The 22,753-nt window shown below is 44.5% G+C and overlaps 3 annotated features.

The window, feature by feature from the left end:
• Positions 2,586-3,086: an enhancer, noted in NCBI's record as "H3K4me1 hESC enhancer chr5:4210246-4210746 (GRCh37/hg19 assembly coordinates)". NCBI's record gives its function as "activates a minimal SCP1, AML or CMV promoter by ChIP-STARR-seq in naive H9 embryonic stem cells {active_cell/tissue: H9 hESC(naive)}" and the evidence as "EXISTENCE:reporter gene assay evidence [ECO:0000049][PMID:30033119]".
• Positions 3,087-3,587: an enhancer, noted in NCBI's record as "H3K4me1 hESC enhancer chr5:4210747-4211247 (GRCh37/hg19 assembly coordinates)". NCBI's record gives its function as "activates a minimal SCP1, AML or CMV promoter by ChIP-STARR-seq in naive H9 embryonic stem cells {active_cell/tissue: H9 hESC(naive)}" and the evidence as "EXISTENCE:reporter gene assay evidence [ECO:0000049][PMID:30033119]".
• Positions 5,500-6,028: an enhancer, noted in NCBI's record as "OCT4-NANOG-H3K27ac hESC enhancer chr5:4213160-4213688 (GRCh37/hg19 assembly coordinates)". NCBI's record gives its function as "activates a minimal SCP1, AML or CMV promoter by ChIP-STARR-seq in naive H9 embryonic stem cells {active_cell/tissue: H9 hESC(naive)}" and the evidence as "EXISTENCE:reporter gene assay evidence [ECO:0000049][PMID:30033119]".

Genomic DNA, 22,753 nt, shown 5'->3' on the forward strand with positions numbered 1-22,753 from the left:
CATGTCCCGTGACAGAGGTCCCACCCGCCGGAGCTTTCAAGTTGATGGGAAGCGGTGACACTTGAGCAGGACATGGCTGGCCTGCTGGATCCTGACACGGCACCCTGTGTGCTCGGCGGTGCGTCCGGCCTTTGTGCAGTGCGCCCCGTCCGCCAGGGCTGCCACAGCTGAGCAGCTGCATCGGGAAAGCCCACTAAGCAGAAAGCGCTCCCCAGCCCGGCCTCTGATTTCTCACATTTAATTACCTGATTTCCCTTTCCTGCGGTCATGGAGAAAATGGCATTACATCACGCACCATGTAGCTCTGGAAAAGCATTGAATGTGTCTAATAGAGCCACTGGTGACAAGCACAATAGATGCGCCTCTTGTTTCACATCGGATATTAGACCCTCCAAACAAGTGTGGTCATTCCTGCTCCGAAGATCTTCAATAGGAAACAAAGGCAGCAGGTTTTGGTGGTGTCACCCCTAGCACCTCACAGAGAGAAAAACTTCATTTAGCCTCCCTGGGCTATCCAAGCCTCCTCCAAGTCTCGGGAAAATGAGAACTTTTACAGGTATTTCCTTCTAGCTATCAATACAGAGATTTCATTTAAATCTGCGATGCTCTCACTTCCCAAGCACCACCGTATGTTACCTTAATCCGTTCAGATACATTTTCATCTTAAAGCACGCACAGCTGCACACTCTTTTCAACCAATTCATGATATCATATAGAACTCAGGAATGAAAATGTCCTCCCCAAAGTGAATGGAAGCCAAAGGGACACAGTGATTGCTCCACATAGAGACAAAAGCGACGACACTATACCCACATCTGCAGATAAATTCCAGGTGGTGCCATGTGATTCCATTAGGCTGATTGATGACAACTTCTCTCTCAGTTTGAATTATGTGGCAACCCCAGGACTCCTCATCTTAGCCCTTGCCTGGTGTTAAGATGTCCTCAGCAGCATGTGTAGCCACCTATGAAGACCCCGTTTCAAAACCTCTCTTGCATCCTAGATTCAGACAGTGTTCAATTTCTAAATAATTAGCAGATTATAAGAAAACAGTATCTTCTATCACTTACTCATCTGCTAAGATGACATTTTTATTGCTGCAAGGGAGTATGCCCAGGAACACACAAACACATAAACACAAACACACATGCACACACACAAACACACATGCACACACACAAACACAAATGCACACACACACAGACACACACACAAACACACATGCACACACAAACACAGCACACACACAAACACAGGCACACACATACACACACACATGCACAGAGATGCATTTGTGTGACCCTGTTGCCGTCAGATACTGATATGGACAGCAAGCAGCTCCTGTGCTTGACGGGATACACATTAACACAGATGTGAGTACAGATGCATCAAACACCTGCCCAGAGGCCCTCGTGGATCAAGGAAGATGAGATATATATGACTCCTGATTTTAAGACCATTAATAGGAAAGATAAAACATGAACAACATGATGCTCTACAAAAAGAGGACTGAGGGTCCTGAGAGGCACACAGTGTGTTAATGGAGTCTTAAGGGCTGAGGGATCACAGTCTCTGGAAACACGAGAAGCTTCACTCTGCCTTGGAGGAGCACAGGGCTCTCCCAGCTGAGAGGGAGGAGGGACCTCTCATGATAGACGATGGATGCATGTGTAGATGGTGAGTGTCCCACTGCACCCCAGTGGAGAGGTGAGAAGGCAGGGTCGGGGGGAAGGATGATGGCTGCGGGACAGTCACTGTACCCCAGTGGAGAGGTGAGAAGGCAGGGTCTGGGGAGAAGGATGATGGCTGCCGGCCAGTTAGTCTTCACATCATCTGTGAGTGGGCATTTAGTGGTGTAGGAAATATAAAGGAATGGACATGTTTGTGGAACAGGAAGGAGCCATGCTACAGCTCAGTGTTAGGGCAGTGATTTGGCAGTAGGGTTCCAAATGGCCTAGAGTGAGCTGAATTAGCACCTTACAGTCCTATAAGTGAGAGCCTGAGAAGTGATGGTGTGGGGGGATAGGAGGAAGGCGCAGACTAGACAGGAAGGCCGGCGGTGTCTCCACGGCTCCACTGACGCCCATGTGGATGAGGAAGAATGGGAGGCCAAGATGGTGCTGGGCCTCTCAGCTTTGCAGGACCAGGAACAGAGTTAGGAGAGGCATTGTGGGAAGGCTGCCTACTGAGTGGTGTTGGGGATATATTTGAGTTGCAGGGATAGGTTTGTTTTCTGAGTATTGGTTGCCAAGCAGATGGTTAAATTTTAAGGTTGGAATCTGCAAAAGAGTTTGAGTCATCTTTGTTGAGGTTTTAAGGCTTACAGGAGAGAACAGAAAGAAGGGAAAGTAGGGACAGGTAGAAACAAACATTTTTGCAGCATTTCCATTGGTTAGCAATAACTGGTGCAAGAAGTGAACATGGGAGCTGGCAGAAGGAAGAACCCTCAGTAAGCCCCTCACTTGGTTTTCTGTATGGCTGAATGACCTGTGTGTATTTGCTATAATTAAATGACCCAGCATGGGTACATTATTACTATCCAAGGTCAACACTTCATTTGGACTTCCTTGGTTTTTTTCCCAAAGTCCTTTCTCTTTTCCAGAGTCCCATCCAGAATATCATATTACATTTAACCATCTTGTCTCCTTAGGCTTGTCTTGGCTATGCCAGTTTCTCAGACTTGTTTTTTGATGACCTTGGTTGTTTTGAGGACTCCTTGTCAAGTATTTCGTAAATTGTCTCTCAGTTGGGACTTGTCTGATATTTTACTCATGATTTGGCTGGGGCTATGGGTTCCTGGGAGGAAGATCTCAGAAGTGAAGTGCTAGTTTCATCTTATCACATTAAGACTGCATGCAATTAGCATGACTCGCCACTGTTGATGTTCACCTTGATCATCTGGCTGAGGTAGTGCTTGCCACTATAAAGCTACTCCTTCTCTGGCTGGGCGCAGTGGCTCACACCTGTAATCGCAGCACTGTGGGAGGCAGAGTCGGGTGGATCACAAGGTCAGGAGATCGAGACCATCCTGGCTCGATCTCTTTAATAGAAATCCCGTCTCTACTAAAAATACAAAAAAAATTAGCCAGGCGTGGTGGCGGTGGCCTGTAGTCCCAGCTACTCAGGAGGCTGAGGCAGGAGAATGGTGTGAACCTGGGAGGCAGAGCTTGCAGTGAGCCGAGATTGCACCACTGCACTCCAGCCTGGGTGACGCAGCAGGACTCTGCTTCAAAAAAAAAAAAAAAAAAAGCTACTCCTTCTCACTCTAACCCCTATTCATGTTGTACTCTGTGGAAGGAAATCACTATGCGTAGTCCACCATGAAGTGGGGAGTTAGGATCCAACCCCTCCAGGGTAGAGTATCTACACAAATTATTTGGAATTCTCCTACCCAGGAGACATTTCTATTCTTGATGGGAGATATTTTAAGGGGTAAAGAAAGCAATTTGAGTGACATCGTATCACATAGGCTCCTTTTAATTCAAGGCAAACTCATCAGCGGGGACAAGGGCCGCTGTGATGTCAGGGAAGGATTTGGAGGCTGGAGAGGACATGAAACCTGCAATGACCTGTCAGCTAGAGGTGAGGCTAAATTCTTTGAGTTTTGCTAAGTAACGCTGAGGTTTCACTCTTGTCCCATGGATCTAAGTTAATTTCAGAACTATAAAGAGTTGTGATGCATGTGTGTGTGTGTGTTTAACAAAATAAGTCATTCCCATAGTTCTCTCTGGAAGATGAGATAGTCAACATCTAATCTTCTGTAGCTATTTATTACAAAGCTAGAAATTTTCTAGCTAAAATTGAGTGAAAATCACTATAATTTTGCAATTTTTAAAAAAGATGGGTTCTTCCCTTGCCTGATATTTGAAGCATCAAAAAGAATTTAGTCAAATATTTCATATTCTGTTTTATAAATTACATATTTATATGTGCAACTAGAATACATTCATAACAGTCCCAAAAGTTCGCTTTAGCTGTGTTTGCATTATTGCTGATCATTGACCTTTTAGAAAACAGAAGTTATTTTATTTTATTATTTTACAGATGGGTTCCATCTGAGTTTTTTGCTTAAAAGTTGATGATTTTGGCTTTCTTTTCAATGCTCACTTGAGTAAAGGTGTCAATGAATTTTTTAGTGATAATGAAAATTCTTAGTTTAACCATTTCATGGTGATCCTGTTAGGAATGGCTTTGTCCATGGTGGAATGGCTTTCTTGACCAATAAGTCTTGTTCCTTGAGTGTCTTGGTCCTTGAGTCATTAAAGTATCTGCCCAACACCCTGCAAAGCAGAAAGAGAACTAAATCTCTTTTTCACATGTGAAACACTTTTCTCTTATGTTAACTATTGTCCACTTCAGCATTTTCCGCATATTTATAGACACTTGTCAGCCCCTCTTCCGGGCTGAGTGTCTTCATCAAATTTACTCTTAGGATATTTGGAGCTCAGACTCATTCTGGGCACCACCCCCCTGAGCCTGAATCCCCCCCACCCCCCCACCCCATAGATGTGTTTCTCGTCTTCACAGCTGGAAGAGAGTGTTGTGGGGAGAGCATGGCCGTGAGGGCCTCTCTCCACTCCACGCTGGGACTTTCTTGGAACAACTCTATGAAGGAGGCAGAGGCCACTCTTCTTCAGGGAAGCTCCTTTGAAATGCAAGGTATGGAAACAGCAGAGTATAGCCTGGAGAGCTTGAGACACTGTGCTTATCCCAAGAAAGTGAGCAAAAAAACGGCCCGTACTCTCCCATAGACCAAACACTCATTGGTATTCACTGGGGTGATGCCCGCAACCTCAGGAAGTTGAGGAGGAAGCTGGATCTATGTGTTGCCCTCTTTCTCTATCCCATGGCCATGCGCTAAGCCCCAACACAGCCCTAGCACCAGCTTCCTCTCTAGGTGCCTGCCTCTCCATGGTGGTCAGGAGGGAGTGAGACGGAATCAGGGCTCATCCACCACACTTGCTTGAAGGCATTTTGTGAGTGTGAGTGCCTGTCTATGCTGGAGACCTGCTGGGACATGGAGACACCCCAGGGACATGAGAGGTGTGTGCTCGCCAAGCCAATCTTTCTCCTCCCACACATCCTGGGAGGCCTTGGCATTCATTCTGTGGGCTGCTTCCTATTTGCAGACGGTCTTTGAGCCTTCACCTTATGTTGTTCCCCTATGTTCAGAAGAAACCTCTTTTCTCTCCTACTCCCCCACATGGAAGAGTTCACAGGTGAAATGATCTGCTTGCTAATTCTCATTTCTTATCCCACAAAATCGTGCTTTTTGTAACACTTGCAAGGAGTGGTTTATTTGGGAAAGGCTAAGGAAAGCAATGATAAAATCTTTAAAAATAACAACAAGCTATCAAAGACATACAAACGAATATGTAGTAGGGAGGAAACCTGAAAAGCCCATGACAGAGACTGTGAATGCGCGTGACCCCCAGTCAGCATTAGGTTTCAAAGAGGGGATTTAAAACAAAAGTCACTTCACATTTCCTGCTGAAAGGGTTTATTTTGGTTTTTCTTCCTCCTGGGTTTTATCTCAGGAATCTTAAAGTCCAAGGGGCTGCTCTTCTCACTAGAATCCTCCAGTAATCACTTAAAGGTAAGTGGAATTAGAGGGGAGCCCAGCATGCATTTACCCACTGCTGCTGCCAGTCAGCTAATTAGGTGATTAAGTCATTAAAGGGAAATATACATTTGAAAGGCTCCAGCTCAGTCACTCAGAAGTGGGATAAAGACCAAATTCCAACTTTCTTCTCGCCAGTCTCTACACTGCAAAAGTGATTAATCTATTTAACTCTGCCTAGCCTTTTTTTTTTCTTTTTCTTCCTTTCCTTTTCTTCTTCCTCCTCCTCCTCCTTCTTCTCCTCTTCCTCCCCCTTCTCCTCTGACTTCTCCTCCTTCTTCTGGAAAAGGAAAAACCAAGGAACAGAAGCTTTTTGTAGAGTCTTTGAACAAATAGAATGACAAATGCCTTTCTCTGAGGCACCTCGTGCAAAGCTTCAACAGCTGGAGGTCAAAATGACTTAAGTAAGGGGCCTGATGGGGACGGGCGAGGAGAGCACAATGGTGACTTCGGATTTAGGGCTTTTCCTATCAGATCATTAGCCTGATTTGTTATCGGATGCCTTTTGATGTTGCCCGTCTTAGACAAACGTTTTGTCTTTGTTAAATGGGGAGATGGCGGGGTGTTTTTGTCTTCTCCCCATGGACTTCCCCTTGCTCCCTATAGAGGCTGGCACATTGCTTTTGCACAAAGAGATACTTCCCTGCTTGTCTCTGAGACAGTACATCCAATTCTCTGGGTCCTCATCTTTGGAAGGAGAACATCTACCATCTATCATGAAGAAGACAGAGGAGGAGGAGAAAGAAGAGGGGGAGAAGGAAAAGGAAATGGTGTATTTTTAAAGAAATGGTTACATTATGGGAATGAATACGCAAAAATGTCAATAAAGCATACTGAGTTTGAAAGTTCCTATGTCTTAACAAGGCCACAATGAGTAGCATTTAAATATTTATGAATGCATTAATACCTTGGAAAGTGAGGTGACTTATGTCACACGTTATGCAAATGACTGTTGAAAAGATGCCTCCCATTGCTCAGGCAGTGGCCTTAAGGGCCTTGGGACCCTGTAGGTCAGCCCCACTGTATCTCTCCTGTAGCAAATACACACAACAGGTGCATTTTCTACAAACACAAATGCCAAGATGAAAACATGAAAGCTTCTCTCAGGTCCAACTTAAGTTCAGATTGACACTCTGTCTATCCAATGCACTTTGCTTAGTACTTTTGCCACTAATGGTGGATCCGGTTCAGAGGCTACTCATGATACCAGACGGGAGCAAAGGATAGGGCACCAGTCCAGGGCTGCCCGTGAAAAACACCGCCCACAGACTGTGGACATAAATTCAGGAACAAAGCACTATCTCAAGTGTAGAGGTTGTGTCTGTTATGTTAACGACTGTTCAGTTAAACATGGTTCTCAATATTTATATTGACAGTTGCTGGCCTCTCTCCTGGACTGGATGCCATCATCAAATTCACATGTGCAATACCGATATATGATGCTTGAGCAGCTTTTTTTAACAAATGTGACACATGGCCTTACCACACGCTGGGTGGTTTGCACAAAGTCAAATGTCCTCTTCACCATCTTGACAAACATTATGTCCACATGTGTACTATATGTACATGAAATCCTTGAGCACGCATATAGTCCATATGGTCTTTTCAGATGCAGGAGGTTTGGTTCCCCAAGTACAACTTTTACTGAGAGATCCCCAGAAAACTTTTGTGCCACTTACACAGTCTGATTTGATCTTTCTTGAGGAACCAATGCTATTAGATATTGCCTGGTGGCAGCAGTAACTAATCTTTGTGGACTGCGGCTTAATTTTTTTGATATATGAATTCTGCCTATTGAAACATGAAATTGTGATAAATTCACAGAAGAGTAACAATCTCAGTTTCCTTAGAAATGACCTACAAAAAGAAGCTCCGCTGCTTCTAGAAGATGTTCCTCAAAAAACAAAAAGGGACCCTGCTTCTGATGAGATGTACTCTCCAAACCCACCCCAACCTTCCTCCTCCAATGGCTTTCTCCAATATGGTTCAAGGTCATTTGCTAAACAGTGGGTCAAAATGGCCATTGTGTTTTTCTCAACCTTCTGTTATATTTTTCTTTTCTCTTTCTTTCTCTCTCTCTTTCTTTCCTTTTCTTTTTTTTTCTCTTTCTTTGTCTTTCTTACTTTCTCTTTCTTTCTTTCTGTCTTCTTTCTTTTCTTTCTCCTTCCTTCCTTCCTTCTCTCCTTCTCCTTCTCCTCCTCCTCCTGCTTCCTCTTCTTCTATTTCTTCTTTTCTTTCTTTCTTTTTTCTTTCTTTCTTTTTCTTCTTTCTTTCCTTCTTTCTTTTCTCTTTCTTTCTTTCTTCCTTTTCTCTTCCTCTTTCCTTCCTTTTTTCATTATTAATTTTATTAATTTACAATTTTACCCACTTCACTTTTTACCCATCAGCTTGTATCCTAACCACAGATGACTGTATCCATTTTACTTAAATGAATTTAACCAGAGTTAGGCCAAGGCCATGTGGGAGGCAATGCCTTTGGTGGTGAGTTGCACCATCACACAGGTAACACTGGCATCATGGATTCACCATTGCCACTCTCTGGATGCTTTCTCTACATTCTCTCATGTTGGAATCCTCCTTTCATCATCCCTTTTGTCTGTGCTTGCAGGTCGGGGTGCCTATGGTGCTGGCTAGTCAGGGTGCCTGTGGTTCTCATTGTCATTTAATAGTCTGAGTTTTTAAAGGCTAGATTTAATTAATTTTAATTAATTAATTAATTCCCACTAAGATCTATTCAACAATATAGAGAACCTCTCACGACCTAATCAGCAAGTAAGTCCCAGAGATAAAAGGCACCATTTCTACCCCTGAGGTTCAAAAGCATAGTGAAGGGTGGAGGAAGGCCATGATGGTGGCTGTGGGGTGCATGGAGCAGGCTAACCCAGGGTTTCCATCTGACACAGCCTAGTCCTGGATGTAGGAGGACATCTCTGTGAGAAGGGTACTCCTGGCTTGGATCTGTTGAGTTAGGTAAAAATCAGTGGGCACAGCCGGTAAATGATGTATCATTGTTAACAAAGGCTAAGTGACTGGAACATCAAGCTTTGTTTCTTTCCTATTGGAATTTCTTTCAGAAATTGCTTGAACCCCGTGGTAAAGCTTCATGTGTGTGGTCCTTGTGCACAAGCAGCAGGGGGTGGGCAAGTGGGAGGAGGTGTGAACCTGCCACATTTCCCTTGTTGTAGGAGAGAAGGTCTGTTCCAACTCTTTGGGGACATAATTGTATGAGGAGACTCTTGTATTTTGGAGACTATAATGAGTCACACAGCCTGGGGTTGGCTGTTGAGGCCAGGCGCTGGCAGAGAGGATTGCCTAAATCTCCTTGTGTTGCACAAAACTAGCTACCTCACAGAAATCCCCTCAATTCTGCCCCCTCTCATTGCAATTAAATGAAAGCATACTGGATGAAGGTGTGAAGACTGAAGCTTTCAGAATGGCAGAAGCCATGGCACATCCCTCCCTTCTCCCTGGGGTACCACCATTAGCTGTCTGAGCTCCAAATTCCTTCCTCCTATAACCTGGTGACTCTGTTCCTTTTTTCAAATTCTTGAGAAATAAAATACATTTGGCTGAGCTTGTGCAGGTGTCTCTGAACTGGAATCCGTCGTCTGTGTTCTAGGGGAGGTGGACTGCAAGACCTAGCCTGAGGAGCCATCGTACGTAGGGGCCAGGCTGAGGCATGAGTGGGTGCATTCAGAGAGTAACTACAACTTCCTCATGGTGTAGACAGAGATCCACTTTGGAGTTACACAAACATCCATTACAAAGTAATCCTGATTATTCTATCAGTATCTAAACCCCTGTTGACATAAAAGTGTCACTTGCTTTCAGAGCCTAAAGATAATTTTGAAACACTTTTGGCCATTGGCAGATATTTGGAACAACACAGGATCAAGCTTATTTTCAAAACCACACTTGCCATCCTGACTACCTGACCATACAATGTGGGGACATGTAGGAGAATGCCAGATTTTTGTCTGTGTTCTGTATTTGCCTACGCACTCCCCTACCCCAACCAACACCATAACTGATTTACTTACTTAAGGAGTGGTTTCCCCTTCAAAGTCAGCTGGGAACATTAGACAGAGAGGTGTTTGGTTTCTGGCTGGTAATCTTCTCCTGTATATTAACTAGACACAGCATATTCTGGCTTTGAATATTCTTGTGGCTTAACTTAAGAGATTAGAAATTTCTTTTGTGTTCACTTGCTTGGCCTACGGTATGACAGACGTCTTTCTGTGCACGCAGTAAATGACTTGGCTCAGTACTCCATTGTACTGTGACTTTTTTGAAGTCATCCAGTGATAATGAAATCAAAATTAAGTTAACCTTTATCCTGGCATTTTACCAAGTATAGATGCCTCCCTGGAGGAGAGAGCTAAGGACAGTTGCATTCGCATGTGGTCAGGTAGTGACCAAAGCCATTCTTATTTCTTTGCCCCCTGCCAAGTGCCTGAGGAGTCTTAATTTTTTTATGGCCATTTTCTTTGGACATGAATTCTAAACTACATTTCAAATCCAAACATGTCATATTCTGAGTGTCTTAAAACTGAGATCATAAAGTTATGGAAGAGTCAGCTTCATTCATTTTTAGCCACTGGAATTTTGAATTGTGAGTTATTTGTTCGGATAAACTTCAACAACCTGTAGTGTGTAAGGGGAAGTGGCCTTGTGTACCCTCCTCTGCCACCAAGTGTGTGGTACTACAAGCCCTTCTTTGGACAGATTCTGCACATGTGCGCACAGCTATCTGCAGCCACTCTTATTGGTCTCGGGTGAACCACATTCTAATGCATTGGTGACAAGTATGGCATTGTTTCTTTCATCTCATGCTGGGAACGCTCAGGGCCTGTTCCTGGTTTTAATGGAAGATTGGGTGTTTTGGACTCGGTTCGGGAGTTGGTACTGGTAAACTTCTGATGTTTATTTATGCAAGGGTAACTGTGTGGCTGTACAACTCATGCATATTTTCACCAGATGAAATTTAGGTTCAGCAAATGTGGAAAGAGTGAAAGTGTTTGCTGTTATCCATCATTCGTGGAGGGTGATTCTATAACCTTCGACTTATCTACTCAGACACAAGGTCCAGAAGCCCAGAGGGCCTCTTCCAGGCCAGCTCAGACTCCTGACATCCCCTCCAAACAGTGGACTTGAAAAGGGGCTGGGACATGTAGGAATGGCACACTTTCTAGACAGCTTTTGCTAAGAAATAAAGACAATACATTTTGGCTAATTAAAGGTCCTGGAAACCTTGATACCAGGGAGCCAGGTTGCTTTGTCATTGCCTGAACCCCAAGTTGGAGTGCTTAATAGTTTCGAAAATGTAATCTCTCTCCCCCCAGTTTATTCTATTAAGTATTAAAATAAAGCTGCAAGTATCATTTTATTTTTATTTTAGTATAGGTCTAAAATAGTATCTCACACTAATATAGTCACAATTTTTACAATTGTTATATTTTAGACCAGGGTTTTGCAAACTGTGGCCCTTAGGTCAAATCTGATCTGTGGTTGGTTTTGTAAATAAAGTTTTACTGAAATGTAGGTCCAATCATTTATGTATTATTAGCTTCTGTTGTGCTACAATGAGAGTTGATTAGTCATGACATAGACCACATGCCCCCAACAGCCTACGAAAATCACCCTCCAGCCCTTCACAGGAGGGTTTGCTGGCCCCTGCTTCTGACTAGAGCAAATCTAATCTACTTATCTTACAAATTAGGCACTTTAGGTCTAAAGTTGTTAACGAACTTCTTTCTCAACTTCTAATAGCCCAGGGAAATTTTCTGTATTGTTGAGCTTTACATAAATTAAATAAGTGGGATAAACCCTTTCATTTATGATTTCTCTTGCTCAATATTATATTTTGAGATTAATTCATAATGGCGTACATAGTTGTGGTTTGTTCATCTTTACCAGCTTATGGTATTGAATAAATGGATGCACCACAGCTTATTTATTCATTCTGTGGTTTATGAACAATGGATAACTTGCAGTTTGGGACATTCCAAATGTGGCCACCATGAACGTTCTCATACAGGCTTTGTGGTGTACATGGGCACACATTTCTATAGAGTGTGGTGTTAGTTGGCTATTGCTGCAAAACAAAATATCCCAAAACATTGCAGCTAAAATTAAGAAGCATTTTTTTCCCCACAGTTTGTGGGTCAAGAATCTGTGAAAGTCTTGGCTGGAATGCTTCTGACTCAAGGTCTCTCAGGAGGTGACAGTCACCCTCCAGTTTTCAGCAGGGCTGCATCTCATCTGAAGGCTCTACTGAGGGTGAATCCCTTTCCAGCTCAGGCATGTGGCTGTTGGCAGTCCCAGGTCCTCACCACGTGGGCCTCTGTACAGGCTGCCCGAGGGCCCTGGAAACATGCTAAGTGATGTCCTCAAGAGGGAGTGATCAGAGAGAGAGAGAGAGACTCAGGATGGAAGCCTCAGTCTTCTTATATTGATCTCAGAAGTGACACCATGTCTTAGTCTATTTGGACTTCCATATCCAAATATCATAGACTAGGTGGCTTTTAAACAATAGAAGGTTATCTCTCCATTCTGGAGGCTGGGAATTCCTAAGTCATAGCACTGGAATATCTGGTGTTTCCTGTTGGTAGACGGCATCTTCTCGCTGTGTCTTCACATGGTGATTGGGGCAGAGAGCTCTCTGGGGTCTCCTTTGGAAAAGTGTCAATCCCACACATGAGGGCCCGGTCCTCATGACCTAATCACCTCCCAAAAGTTTCACCTCCTAATACTACCACTTTGGGGGTGAGGATTTCAATGTAGGAATTTGGGGGTACACAGACACTTAGACCACAGCACATCCCACTGCTTCTGTGGCATTCTTTGTATTAGGAGTGAGGCAATGAATCTGGTTCACGCTCAAGGGGGTGGAAATTAATCTCCACCTCTTGAACGAGAAGTGCCAAATGATCTATGACGTGTTTTAAAACCATCACATGTACATCACTTGGAGTAGGATTTCTGGTTCCCAACATCTTTGCATGATCCTTTTTAGCAGGGGCGACCGGTGTTACTGAGGTGGCTGCTGCCACTCCCACTCTCGCAGCACAGTCTGAGAGCACAGGGAGCTCCCTGGCTTGCATACTTGCTAACGTCAGTCTTTTCCTTTAATCACTCTGCAAACCAATGATTTTTTTAATGGCAATGGAAAAGAAAAGGGAAATTGTGTGTATTGAACTTCTATTAAACATCAAGCCAGCAGTTCCATGATGCACACATTAAACTCCACTGGGAGGTCCCATTTTCCTCAGTCCATGGGTGAGCTCGGAGACGTTGTGTGACTTGTCTAACAGCACAAAACAGCCACAACTTTCATCAGAATCTGGTACCTGTTTCCTCACCTTTCCTAGTTTTATGTGGAAAATACATTGACAAGAAAAGCCTTTCTAGAGGCAAAAGCAGGAGACAGTGGTTTCATGTGGAATTAGGGAAACGTCTGACCTGTGTTTGCAAGTGGGTTGAAAAGAAAGGAAGCCCCATCTCTTTGAATGCGTGGGGCCAGTGGCCTCAGTGTGAGGAGCTTCTTCCTCTGGGTCTTGAGGCATCCAGGTATAGGGCCGAGCCAAGGTGGGCTGAAGTGTGGTGAGACCATGCACAGGACACAGGCTGACCTGATTCTGGACACCAGTAAGGAAGCACTCAGGGACATGAACTTCTGAGAACCAAGGGGGTGTCAGGATGTGGGGGATATCAGGGATCCAATAATGATTGGGATGCTGGGAGGAAGGGCACCGCATTTTATAACACTTTTGTAATCCCACTCAAGTGAAGCTGGATTCAACAATAACAAAAGCAAGTATGTTGAGCATTCAATAAAAATACCCCATTTCTACACAGCTGCAGAGATCCCTGGGCCCCAGGATTTATCTGACAATTGTGCACACGAGGTGATGCCAAAAGTGAGAGGTTCCCTTGTCCCAAGAAAGTTAAGCGGAGAGTTAAATACCAACGACTGGCATGAATGTCAACTGATATCACCAGCATCGATTTGAAATATGACATCAACATGGTACAGACAAAAACACGTCTACACTTATTGATTGTCTATAATTAACCTGCAATCACAGTCAGCCCGTGCACCAGCTGTGGCCCCACCTTGCTAGAATACGTTGAGCATAAGCATCTTTGCCTCCAAAGCATCAGGCATAATGGCCTCATTATTACTCCTTTATATCCCTTTCTCATCTGTAAATCATTTCTTGTTGGCAAGACTTCAAAGGGAAATTCCTTCTCTTAAGTGAAATTAAAGTAAACCGTTTAAAAATATGGCACAGTGACCTTTATTGTGACTGTTCATCTATCCCTAGTATTACTATTTGCATTTGTTTTGCTTTGGTATCTGTTGTACTGTTATTTCTTGTATTGCAACACTTAATGACTAATATGTTTTGAATCTTGACAAAATGTGATATATTTCCCATGAGTATATGGTTATAAGGTAGTGCATATAATTTACTGTATATTATACATATTTATGAAAACATATTTTATGTGCTTAGATATTCATATACTATGGGTGCGTGTGATTTCTCTTGCACAGGGACCTTTAAAAATATTTTGTGTCTGAGCCGGGCACGGTGTCTCCCGTCTGTAATCTTAAAACTTTGGGAAGTCTAAGCACGCAGATCACTTGAGGTCAGGAGTTCAAGACCAGCCTGGCTAACATGGCGAAACCCCATCTCTACTAAAAATACAAAACTTAGCCAGCCATGGTGATGGGCACCTATAATCCCAGGTACTCAGAAGCCTGAGGCGGGAGAATCTCTTGAGCCCAGGAGGCGAAGGTTGCAGTGAGCTGAGATTCCACCACCGCACCCCAGCCTGGGCAACAGAGCGAGATTCCATTTAAAAAAAAAACAAAACTGTGTCTGTCCTATGCTTTTCACGAGTGAAGAAAGAAGACGTGTTCATTAGTAATTAAACAGGATAGGAGTATTTAGGTTGATTTTGTTCACCTTAAAACAGTATGCTGCCGTTCTCATTCAGGCTGTGTTAATATGGATTAAGTAGCACTTTTTCCCTGGCACGGTGGGAGTGCCCAGCGGCTGTGAATTCCATGCTCACTCTGAGTTCTCCACTTGATCAGGACTCGGTGCTGCCCGCCTGGTGTGCCCACCCTCCCTTTCTTCCTGCAGGCTCTCGCTTTACTCACATGCTCAGCTGTCCATTTTATTCAGCTTTGACATCTCTGACACCTAAGTCTTCCCCCAGAATTTATTAGCCTCTTTTTTTCATCTTTTTCATAGAATCTCAGGAGTCTTAATGGTAGATCATTTTTCATGAAAGCAGAGAGCTTTTTTTTTTTTTTTTTTGAATGAGCTTCTATTTTATTAGTCTGTCTGGAAGGGTTTTTAAGAGTACTCATTTGCAGGGCTGGAAAATTTACCATAAATTTTCATGAGAGAAGACTTTCGGTTTCAAAACAGAAGTAGCCCTTAGCCTAATTTCCATGGTTCTGCTATGCCTCCAGTGAAGACCCCTCTGCACACCTCCAGAAGCTGTAGCACATTTATTGTTTTGTTTTGGAACAAAAATGATTCCATATGATGTTCCCGACTGTCTGATCATCTGCATGGAGATCAGAGACAATAAGCGCCAGTGTGAGTCCATTTCACTCAGGGTCGGGGAGTCCGCAGGAACGCATGGGTCATGGGCGTGGGAAGGGGATTCATCCCAGGAAGGAGAAACCTGTTCCCCAGGGCGGGTTTCTGCGTGGTTCCAGCCTAACTCCTGCCCCTTGGGTCTTGGCAACCAGTTTGGGAAAATTCGGGGTCCATCAGAGACTTTGAGAGATGTCGACCCTGCTGCCAATCTGCTCCAAGCCGGGCCGGACTTGAGAAAGGCTGAGTGACATTTCCACATCCACCTGGACTGCAGCCACCCCGGTGGCTCCTAACACAGCGTTAGTTCACAGGTTACCTTCTCCAAAGACGTGTTGCTGATATGCAAAATACAACAGATGAATCATTGGAACAGGACCCTGCGACATCTCCCGCGAGAGAATTCAAGTGAAGAAAGCGTGACAAAAAGAATGTGGTCAGCGAAGAGGCCAACTGGAGGCTCAGAGAGATGAGGAAGGAACTGTTCCTGGGCCGTGTCCAGGCCTCGGTGCCCGGGGAAGTGATTCTCCAGCCCTCACCGCTGCTGCAAAGGCAGCCTGGCTGCTTTAAGACGTCTTTGTGTAGAGTGGGGATCAGAGACTACATTTTGCAAGTGGGCTAGTAGCAGGAAAACATTTGGAGGCCTCAGATCCCTTGGCCTCATCTGAAAACACCTTAGTGCTTCACCCTTTGTTGGTCCCACCAGGCCCTCACTTCCTCTTCAGGCTGTCAGGGGGCACGTGGAGGCAGCAATTGGGAGGGTGCTGCTCCCAATTTCACCTAAGAGACCGGGCATTTTCCAGCACCCCCAAGGGGAGTTTCTGGGGACTCCAGGAGATTCTCCCCCAAGCGCAACCTCATTCTGTCGACTGTGAGCCATCCATTTGGGTGCTCCCAACTCTCAGCCTCAGCCTTCCCCTCCAGGAACTCCTCTCCCTGGGGCGGCATTGCTCTTGAACCAATAGCGGCCCTCCTCCCCTCTCCAAGCCATTTGGATGATTCTGGAGACTCACATCCTGGCACAGGGAGCACCTCTCCTCTCCTCAAAGCAGGCGAGGGGGCCGGGGCAGGCTACCCGGTGCTCTCCGCACCAAAGCAATGCACTTTAATTCCTGCAGACACACACACACACACACACACACACACACACACACACACACACACGTTATACTTTTGTTTCTGAATGTAAGAAATGGTGTGTGCTTATTATATAGATAAATTAAAAAATAAGAAAATATTTATAATATACATATTTTGAGAAGCCAAAAAATATATTTCTTTATTAAAATCTTATTTTGGTCACCCAAAGCTGCATTTTTCTCTCCTAACCTTGAAGGCATTGTGATGCCCCACATCGGAGCTGCTCCAGGGGACGGTGCTGGCCTCCCTGGTAGTTGGGGCAGGGTGGAGGGACAGGAGGACCTGGCCTAGAGAAGAGACATCTCACGAAGACAAAAAAGGTTACGGTACCAAAAAGGGGATAAATACGATCTACAAAGAAATTGCCTTGTTGAAGACTAGAAAACAACTAGGGAAAAAATGTGGTCACCTCTTCACCTCTTCAGGTATGCCTCTTAACAGGTCTGTGATTTTAAAAGGCCCTTAAGTAGGTTCTGACTGGGTAGAGAACCTGGTGGAGATTCTGTATAACCACCAGAAACAACCCCACAGTGCCCATTTTGGATGGAAAAATCTGTAATTTTCCATTTGCCTCAAATAATGTATTAGGAAATAATCTCCCCACAGAGAATTTTAATTTGCCTGTTGGAAGGATGTTAAAAAATTAAGATATTGAATATTGGGTTTATTTCTGTATTTCTTTATTTTTGCAGGAATTCTTGTTGCTCCTTTCTGTGACATGTCAGCCTGGGTCCATGTGTGAAACTGGTGATCGAATGATTAAATCAAGAGAGTTTTGATTAATTTTTTTCCCTCCCCTACCACTGTCACCTGGGCTGACCGGAGTGAGGAGAAGCTTGAGCAGACACACACTGCCAAGCTCTGTGGCTGCACAACCAAGAACAGTTTTGTTTTTCAAAGACTTGGAGCCCTTTACTCCCAACTTAAATTTATATGGTTTGCTAATTGCCTGCACATAAGGAAAGGTGAGCATGTAATTTCCTTTCACTGTAATTTGAAATCCTCCAATGATGGTTTCTCTCCATCCACTAGGGAACTGAAGGCTTTGGCAAGCTCCAAGCCTAGGGCCCGACGGCACTGGCCCAAGTGGAGGGTTATAATATGGGTACAATGCACCATTTTGTACTCAAAACAATTTTTGCTGGCTTTGGCTTTTTGATTTAATGAAAGTCTAATAAGTCCAGAAATTCAAATTTAAGCACACTTCTTTTATTTTTAACCACCAGGAGTAACAATAATCACTCGTTCTACTTTAAAAAAGTAGAATTCAACTAAATGAATTTCACAGACTTTTTCTTGGACTTATTTTAATTTGGCTTTAATGTTATAAGTCTAAATCTTGAAACATTTATATCTCTGGTTTCAGTTAAACTAATAAAGTATTACTATATTAATAATTGGTACCCACTTTATTAAGTACTATAGACATCAAATCCTTTATATTCAAGAAGTGAAAGCCCTCCAGCTCTAAATACTTTTGGCAAATAAGTCCTTAAGATATAATTGAGTATAACATAAGGTCTGATTTAAAACATGAGTTAAAATTAAGGGCACCACTACCATTTGCAAATCGTTAAAGGACTAACTTAGAAGACAATTCTTGTGATGAAATTCAAATGCGGACTCACAGGAACTCAAGGTCTCATGTTTGAGGTGAGCTTCAGAATTCGTTGTGCAGATGGCTAGGACCTGCACTATCACTGAGCTATTTAATTTAAACCTGAAATATCCAGGATAACAAACATAGGAATATAAAGGAAATGGCACACTCAATTAAAATAATTCACGAGCTGCCTTGAGAAGAACAATTCAGGGGGAAATGGCCTCATATTAGATGTTTTGGGAGTCCTTGACGAGCAGTTTCCTTCTCATTCAATAATATCCACACTGAGATCGATTCTGCAATGGAACTGACAAAGGAGTGCAGGGAGAGTAGACTTCTTAGTGGCAGGAGCCCGTGTTCTCTCTGTGTCCCTAGCACTTGCTAGCATGGCTCAAGGAATGCTTGTTGAATGCACTGCGCAAGGCTAAGAGCTGGGTCATACCAAGGTGATTAAAATATCATTCCTGTCCTCCAAGAAATTACTAAGAGGGAAAGTTACATACTTGAATAAATGACTATAATACCATAGAGACTATGTAAACTGTTAAAAGTAATATGTAAATAAAGTATTGTCGATGTGAAGTATTTTCTCAAAGAAGAGACATTTAATAAATGCAAACATAAATAGCATGCTTATTAGTGTATATGATACTTTCATCTCACACTTTCTCCGTCCTTACTACATTTAGATAGGTGATTTAAGACATTTGTTTTTTTTTTTAATCTCATCTTTCTTCTGTTTTCCACTCCACAAGTTTATTTTACAAAGTTATAGATTTGGAAAATAAATTTTTACATACTCTAGTGCATTCTCAAAAAATTACATTAATGGTGATTCATGCTTAGAGACATCAAGTAAGCTGTACAAGGCCTCGCAGTTTTGTAAATACAAAAAGTAAATAAATACAAATTTTAAAAAGGAAAAAACAAGTATTGACTCATAGCCAGGAATGGAAGCTATCTCAGGACTGTTTCCAGGGGTTCAAATGGCACCTGCCTGGACGTCTCTCCTATTTCCATCTCTTTCTTCATTTCCCGCCTATGTGCATTGCCTCATCATTTTATTCCACTCATTTGTTTGAGTGTAGCCAGAAATGCACACCTGCCCTGCTCATAAACTCACATGGACAGGGAGGCACTTTCTCTGAGCCTCACTCTGCCAGTGCTAGCAAGGACCGCAGATGGCCACTGCTGGGTCACATGCAATGTGCCTGGCTCAGTCCCAGTGCCCAAGGGAGCGGTCCAAGCCTTGGCCACGTCACCCATCCCTGCACAGGAAGTGATGAGTAGGGAAGGGGGCACCCTAATGGACATACTTGCTCAACTGCAGGGGAGAGGAAAGAGTCATCTTCCTAAGAAAGACATTCCAGGTAAACAAAACACCCTAGGTCCATTCGTGGACTTCCACCCAGTGGAGTAGGTGGGCAGAGGTGGCGGCTCTCAGTGCTGGAGCCCGTTGCTCATTCTATAGAAACCCTTCGCCTCCCAGGAATGAAGGTCTAGAGGTTGTGCAGAGTTAATATGCAGAAAACTGTAAGGAATCAGAACTTTACAGCATCAAAGGACTTTGAGATCACAAACAGCCTCCAGAAATACACTTTATTTTTGTTTTCTGTTCTGTATTTTTATATCAAATGTCAGATGATTGATGAAATAACATTTAATCACATGCACATTGGAGACACGGCTAAAGCTTTCAGTCTTGCCTCCAGCTGAGACCTGCCTGCCTCTGAGTCCTGATTTCAGTAACCTCCAGCTCAGTGTCTTTCCCTGAACATCACTGTCTCCTACTCTAGAAAGAGTGAGAAAAAGTGGTAATGGGACCTTCTCCCCATGCAGATTATAGCCTTTAAGAACACAGACACTTATAAAATTTGAGCAGAAAATGCATTTCTTCATCTGTCTTGGCACAAGGACAACCACCGCTGGTCTCAGGTTATGTACGTTTCTACATGCAGACTCAGTCTCTGAGCTTAGGTAGAAACCTAGCGGAACTCAGTAAAAACTCAAGAATACCCTTAATGTATTTCTCACCAGCAACTACGTCTATTTGTCTTTCATGTTCCTATTTCACCAAGCCATGAGGGATCTGCCCCCATCCCCCAGAGTCTCCAGCCAGGCCCCACCACCAACACTGGGGATTACATCTCAGCATGAGATTTGGAGGGACATCCAAACTATATCAGGAAGTAAAGTCATTTGCTGAAGAGCATATAGCTCAGAAGTCCTCCTAGCTTAAAATTCAAGCCCTTAACCCCAGGTTACCCCACTTTATAGAGGAGCTGATCTCTGATGCACAGCTAAAATGCATGTCCCCTCGGACGAGACATTTGACTAAAAAGTCTTTATGACTACAGTGCCTGGCCCGGGGGCTTGTGTCCTAGAAATAACAAACCAGTGAGTGAGAACCATCCTGGATGCCTGGTTGCGTATGAACCCATGGGCTCTCTGTGGTTTCCGGTCTTCCTGGGAGACAGGTGAATAACGACCACCTGCATCCCTTTCCACAGAGACAGGGGCAGAATCTGAGCTGGAGTTCCCCAGTCTGGAGTCCCGTGCTCCTGACTTCAGAACTCACTCTAGGCTGGGCGCGGTGGCTCACGCCTGTAATCCCAGCACTTTGGGAGGCCAAGGCTGGTGGATCACAAGGTCAGGAGATCGAGACCATCCTGGCTAACACAGTGAAACCCCGTCTCTACTAAAAATACAAAAAAAATAGCCAGGCGTGGTGGCGGGCGCCTGTAGTCCCAGCTACTCAGGAGGCTGAGGCAGGAGAATGGCGTGAACCTGGGAGGTGGAGCTTGCAGTGAGCCAAGTTTGCGCCACTGCACTCCAGCCTGGGTGACGGAGACTCCATCTCAAAAAAAAAAAAAAAAAAAGAACTCACTCTAATGCTCCAAGCAGCATGTAACTCTTGACCTTTCACGGTTTGGGGAGGATAAGCTCATGACAGAGGGCACTGATCATGGTGTCCAGCAAGTGGTGAGAATTCAGCAGATGTCAGACACTATTCCTCACCACTAACAAGATCATGACGGCATGTGTGTGCTGAAGACTCTCTCTGCAGCCACCACACTTAAAGAAAATTCATTGAGAGAGTACCAACATGGAGCATATTTTAAACATCTAAAATATTAAGATAATGTACGTATTAAACTCAAATTAATGGTATGCAAAGCACTTTGATATCACTTTCAAATAAAGAATTAAAAGCATGGTACCAACATTACCAGAAGTCTAAATCCCCTGGCCTCCTAAGCCAAATACACGTGCCTAAGTTAGTTATCTCTTGGAAATGAGCTCAATGGAGTGGCTCTGCTATGGTCAAACTGTGCGGAACAGAATGACTGGCATTAAGTGCACCTTCAGAAGAAGTGGGCCGTTACTGCATTCTCACATGACCTAGTTAGTCCTGGTGAAAAGCCACTTATGAGGCAAAGCGAGTGGACATGAAGTGAGGATCTGCAATGGTTGTTGTAACAGAAGGGAGCAGGACAGAGTCCGGAAAGCTAGAAACACTGTCACCCAGGACGTGTGCCCCCTGAATCAGCTGTGCCCTGGGACAGGAAGAAGCAGGCTGCACAGGGTCATCAGAAAAGCTCTCGGCACAAGGCCAGACATGGGTGGCAGGGAACCTGGGTTCCTTGAGTGGACAAGACTGTGAAAGGGGATGGGTGGCCACACACCAGGACCAGCCATGGTCACAGCAGCAGCCTCTTGTCCTTTCTCAAGGCTACAATTCCCAGGTCACTTCTCTCTGGATGCTGTCATCAGGAACAGGAACCTGGGAGCCCGGGTGGCTGGGATGGGCATGTAGGGACCAAAGAGGAGAAAATCAACCATTGGCACCTCCTACTCAGTGACTCCTGGTACAGAGGGCGCAGGACACGGAAGGAAGTGCTCTCCACTGGCCTGTCCCTGGACACACTCAGGTCCCTCTGTTGGTGAAGATGCCTTGCTAGAGGGCAGACTCATCTGCATTCCTTAGGGGAGGTGACAATGTGATCCCACTTGTCCACTTGGGAGGTCTGTTTCCACTGCTTCCTCGCACCCCCCGCCAACCCTGCCCTTCCTCTGCTCCCCCACCTCCTTCTGCTCTGACCTCCCCACTCTGTCCCTTAGAGCCTTCTCTGGGAAGTGGGTAGCATCTACTCCCTTGAGGAGCCCCTACTCCATGCTTGTGTGAGCAGGCCTAGGAGCACTTTAGGAGAACAGGGCCTTCCCATGATGGGCAGGAGGCCAGGAGGAAGTGAGTGGTTTCCTTTGACATCTGGGTCACTGAAATAAGCTTTGCATGTTTAGTAAACACATAAGACCACATGTTGGCAACTAACAAAAATTAAAAGCTCCTCTACCCTCTGCCGTTCCATGGGAGTAGCTGTGCCTACAGGAACAGCATTGAAAAAACATTGCTAAAAGGCAACAAGGAGGGCACAGCAGCCACATGGTCAGACGAATGTAGTCGTTTCCTTTCAACCCCCATGTTCACCCTGGAGAGTGATGGCCTGGGTCGGGCAGGCCAGGCTGGCAGCCTGCAGTGGGCAGCTTGGGTGACCTGACGCAGAGGCCCCGGGTGGAGTGAAGCCCTGAATGGGGACTGCACCCGGCAAATGAGACTCGTTCCCACGCTTGCTGCTGTTCAGACGCGCCGGGCATGCTCCCTGCTCCGTACGGACCCTTTGCTCTGCCTTCTGCCATCTGTCTTTTAAAATGTTAACCTCTGCAGGCTGGAATGAGTGTAAGGTTTACTTTTATTTTCATTTTTTAAAA

Source organism: Homo sapiens, chromosome 5, assembly GCF_000001405.40.
Source record: "Homo sapiens chromosome 5, GRCh38.p14 Primary Assembly".
In the NCBI taxonomy this organism is placed as follows: Eukaryota; Metazoa; Chordata; class Mammalia; order Primates; family Hominidae; genus Homo; species Homo sapiens.